General features: G+C 32.3%; 1 pseudogene; it reads right to left on the reverse strand.

Moving 5' to 3' along the window:
• TMA16P1 (translation machinery associated 16 homolog pseudogene 1) lies at positions 744-2,496 on the reverse strand (annotated as a pseudogene).

Genomic DNA, 5,380 nt, shown 5'->3' on the forward strand with positions numbered 1-5,380 from the left:
ATACAAAAATTAGCTGGGTGTGGTGGCCCGTGCCTGTAGTCCCAGCTACTTGGGAGGTTGAGGCAGGAGAATCACTTGAAACTGGGAGGCAGAGGTTGCAGTGAGCTGAGATTGTGCCATTGCATTCCAGCCTGGGTGACAGAGGGAGACTCCTTCTCAAAAAAAAAAAAAAAAAAAAAAAAGCACATACAGGAAACACACAAAAATAAAATAACTCTAACCTAAAAAAAATTTTAATCTCACTTTTTTTCTAAGCAAACCAAAACTTAATAATAGTGGCATAGGAATTATTTTGATAAAATGTAAAATCTGTTAGACCAGTTACCAAAAGGCAAAACAAAAGACCTTTTGCCGTGTACAGAATATTATGTTGGAAGAAAACATTTCCTTGAGATCTTTAAGAAAATATGGTTAACTTCAGGCCACAACAAACAGAACTTGAGGGGAAAAAATCTTACATGAGCTGAAAATAAGTTGAAGGAGAGCGCTATTATTTCGTGCCTTTTAAAAGAAGGGAGAAGAAAATGAAAATTGGTGAAACGCAATAAAAGTTGAACTTTGCAGTAAAAAAATTAAAATATCTTAAAATTTATTAAGAGTAAATAAATAACTTAAGGAAATTTATTTTTCTAATTAATTCTTTAGTGTATAAGTAGTTTTTCTTTACATCAAACCCAATCTCTAGAAAGACCATTATTATTTCCCTTGAATTATAGACAACTGGATCATATAAAAGGTTTTGTTTGCAGAAATAAATTTTATTTGTAATTTTCAGAAGTAAAGAAAAGTTATAATACTTTAAGTAAACTGTTAATAAGACTTAGTTGACACCCAGTTAACCTAATCCAGTATTGATGTTTTTATTCTTTTCTTGAAAATACTCAAATACACCTGCATTGTGCTCCTTTAAAAACATGTTAAGGATACTTGCATTTAACGAGTTTTTTGAGGAAGAAAATTATACAACATTCATGCTTTTCATGATACTGAAAATACTGAATTATATGTCAATTTAATTTATCTCTTAGAAGAAAAAGTAACATAATTAAAATCACTGGTTCTCTGATCTTTAGTTCTCTCTCCACAAATAAAACCTATCACTTTTCACAATAAAAAAGCAAAAAAAATTATACAATTAAAAGGAGGTAAACTGAAACTCTTTATCCCCTTTGTTAAAAGGTAAATTAATTGTGAAAGATCAACATAACAATCATCACTGATTTTTTTTTACCATTTAACTCTCATTCAGATGATAAATAATAATCTATAATGCACCAGTGTATACAAATTTCTTATCACATTTTCCCTTATTTTGTAAAAAAGGAAAATGGATTTCATGCTTAAAAGAAGGATTAGTGTGACATTACTGAAAGACAATTTTGCTATTATCAAAGTTCAAAAAGTACCCACAGGAATCTTTTAGGAAACAGGTTACTGTCCATTTCCCAAAATGTGAAATTAGGTGATCATAAATACACAAGAAAAACAAAACATTTTTTGTCCTTAGTTATATTGCTCCCTTCCGGCCCAAAATTCAGACGAAAAAGATTAAACAGCTTTTGTAGATCATGTCTATCTATTTTAGCAACTTAATGAAAAGCAACCTTCATTTTAAAATAAATATCATAACACCATTTTTGAAACTACAAATTAAACTCTCATCATATAAATGAATGTCAATATGAAATTATTTTATCTTGACAATTACATACCATAATGAATGAATATAATTTGCAGCTCTTAAATTATTTATTTTTAATTCAAGCAAAGACAATTATGCCACTGCAGTCATTTCCTCATCGGAGTCACTTGATTCATTGTTAAGTTCCAATTCCCCTAAATCTTGGTCTACAGTTATAATAGTTTTCCTCTTGCACTTCTTGGGAATTGCATCATTAGCACAAGTTTTTCTTATGTTAGTGTTTGGCAATTTCTTCAGATTAAAGTCACATTCCCTAAACGTTTACAGGTTACTTGCATTTAGAATGTCTGGAATCTCAAGACCATATCCTTCATACTGCTCTCACTCCCGCTCCATCGTCTGCTTATTGACAGTCTCCCGGGAACAGTGCCACCTCCCCTGCCTGTCCCTGATACTGTTACGTAACTCAGTCTGCTCCAGCTCACTGCTGAATCGATTTTAATATCTTTCAATTAGTTCACAAGCATCTTTCTTTAAATATCCCTTTTTTGGGGGATCAAGATGATTTTGAAACCACTGCAGGTTTTCACAAATAAGGTTGAAAAAAGCCTCACACAAGGCTTTTTCATTCTTCAATTTTCTGTTTTTCTTGTTTGTGGGCCTCTCTCGTAATTTGAGCTGCTTTTCTACTAAATGGATGGGTTACTTTTTTTTTTCCGGTCCTGCACTTTTTCCCTTTGATGCTTTAGGCATGGTGATGTCCTCGCTGTCACGGAGGAGCTCCACACTCTAGACCCAGGCGATCTCATGAACCACAGGAGCAGCAGCTCACACGAGTACCTGGGCTGAATCCCCAAAAGTTTTTGTTTTGTTTTATTTTTTATGAATCCTTTTATTGTGAAAAACAACTAGTCATTTTATTCTAGGTCTAAATTTACCATACAAGATTCTTTCTCATATAAAATTATTTCTCTTTAAGTGTTCTTACCAAAGATACCTCTTTGTTTCTATAACTTTCTTTACATGTCTCATATTTCCTGGTTCCTTTTACCTTGTTTTATACATAACCTTTAAATAAGCTTTAAATTAGATAAAAATTGTTCACCTTTTTAAAAAGGAAATTTTTAAAAAAAGAATGTTTTCCTACAATATATTTTTATTGGAAAATACCCAAATAATAAGATATTTATTATTTAACTTAATATAACTTCAGATTCTAAATTCTGACACATTTGTCTGTATTCCATTACATTTATCTAATTATTTTATTTTATTCATTTATCTAGATTATTTATAAAAACTGTGATAGTCATCATTTAAAGTTTGAAGCTCACCACTGCAAAATTCTAACTGAGACAATGGAAAAAATATGACCTAAGTGACTCCATCTTGCTTCTAACCTCCAACCTGTCCTTGTTGATTCCTGGACTTTGGGAGGAATTTAGTTTATAGTTCTATTTTTATTAAACTAATATGAATGTTTTATTTATTAAAGATTATACAAGCAAAGATTATTCTGTCTTGGGCTAGGTTTATAGTTTTGTAACCACTATGCCAAATTTTGACACCTTATAGTATTTGGCAGGGATAAGTATGAAATTCCTTAATAATTGCAAACAAAACTGTATGCTAGCAATTCTTAATACATTTATAATATTACTTTACCAATAATTTTAAAGCTAGCTGATTTATTAAAAATTTTACTTAAGTCATGTAAACTTGAAAGTACATTTGAATAGTCTTTCGTTTTTTGATAAAGTATTTGATATAATCACTTTTATTTTTCTTTAAGCCATTTAATTAGAGTTCTTTTATATATTTTCAGTAGTGAATCTTTGTGTACACAACACATAAATACATAGATGTATGCTGATAGAAAGTACACCTTATAGATTCCTAAAGACTTTTCTTCCTATCTTAAGCTTTCAGATTCTTGATAACCTGCTTCAGAAGCCTAGGCAGTTGTCAGCTAAATAGCCTTAAATTTGCATATTAAAGGAAACAACTCAAGTGAAAATTAAATAGCAAAATTTACATCATAAGGTACACAGAGAAAAAGTCTGGTGGTGCTGGAGAAAGATTAAAGATGGATGCCAAGTCAAACATAAAATTATAGAAATCTATCATATAATTGTATAAGGAGACCAATTTTATTTAGATGGAGACTACCTATCTTTTAACTGGATCTCTGAGCTCTGGGTAGAGCCCACACTGAATCCTGGATCTCCAAAATGGGAGAATTATTTTGAGATTAGACTGTGTGATATTTTTACAATGCACTTAAAAAAATTTTTTTTAAACAAAGACATTTCTAAGTGTCTGAAGTACCCTCTTTCTTAAAAATCCCCAGAGTAGCCTCTGTTGCAATAGTTATTAATGAAGAAAACAGAATTAAGTCAACTGAGAAGAAAAAGAACTTTTGCTCCGAAAAAGACAAGGTCCAAAAAGAGAAAATATAAACAAAACATGAAGACCTTTTAAATACAAACACACACACACACACACTCATCTTGGATGTTAGCCTTTAATTAAGCTGACTTTTAACAACTGAGCTCCTTTTAAAAAAATGTTTTAAATCTCATTACTATATTTCAGCTAGGACAAATTGCTGCTATTTCAGAAGCACCAAGTATTAAAGCAGAAATGGCTTGATTTAGAAACTGTGAATCCCCAAAATCAGAGACAGGTCACAGTTTATTAGGAAGTTTATTTTGCCAAGGTTGAGGATGCACATCCATGACATAGCCTCAGGAGGTCCTGACAACATGTACCCAAGGTGGTCAGAGAACAATTTGGTTTATACATTCTAGGGAGACATGAGACATCAATCAACATATGCAAGATGAACATTGATTCTGTCTAGAAAGGCGGGAAAACTCAAAGCAAATGTGGGAAGACTCGAAGTGGTGAGGGGGCTTCCAGGTCATAGGTAGATCAGAGGTAAATGGTTGCATTTTTTTGAGTCTCTGATTAGCCTCTCCAAAGGAGGCAATCAGATATGCATTTATCTCAGTGAGCAGAGTGGTGACCTTGAATAGAATGGGAGGCAGGTTGGCTCTAATCAGTTCCCAGCTTGACTTTTCTTCTTAGCTTAGTAATTTGGGGGCCCCAAGATTTATTTTCCTTTCACCAGAATTTGTTCTCAGGATCCAATCATCTTGTACCACGCCCAAATTCCAACATTGGGAATAACATTTAAACATGACATTTGAATGGGATGAGCACCCAAACCATATCACCACCCATCAACCATGGAAAACACATTCTTCTGATTTACACAAAAAATATACTCCAAGATTGATCTCATGCTCAGCCATAAAGCAAGCATCAATAAATTCAAAAAAAGTCAAAATTATATCACCCATAGTCTTGAACCACAGTGGAATAAAAATATAAAGCAATACCAAGAATATCTCCAGAAAACATACGATTACATGGAAACTAAACAACCTTCTCCTGAATTACTTTTGGGTAAACAACAAAACTAAGGCAGAAATAAGTTCTTTGAAATAAATGAAAACAGAGACACAACATACCTAAATATCTGGGATACAGCAAAATAACTCTTAAGAAGAAAGCTTATAGTGCTAAATGCTTACCTCAAAAAGTTTGAAAGATCTGAAGTTAACAACCCACTACAACATCTAGAGGAACTAGAAAAACACACACAAAACTAATGCCAGAGTTAGCAAAATAAAATAAATAACCAAAACTGGAACAGAACTTAACAAAATTGAG

This window comes from Homo sapiens, chromosome 11, assembly GCF_000001405.40.
Source record: "Homo sapiens chromosome 11, GRCh38.p14 Primary Assembly".
Lineage (NCBI taxonomy): Eukaryota > Metazoa > Chordata > Mammalia > Primates > Hominidae > Homo > Homo sapiens.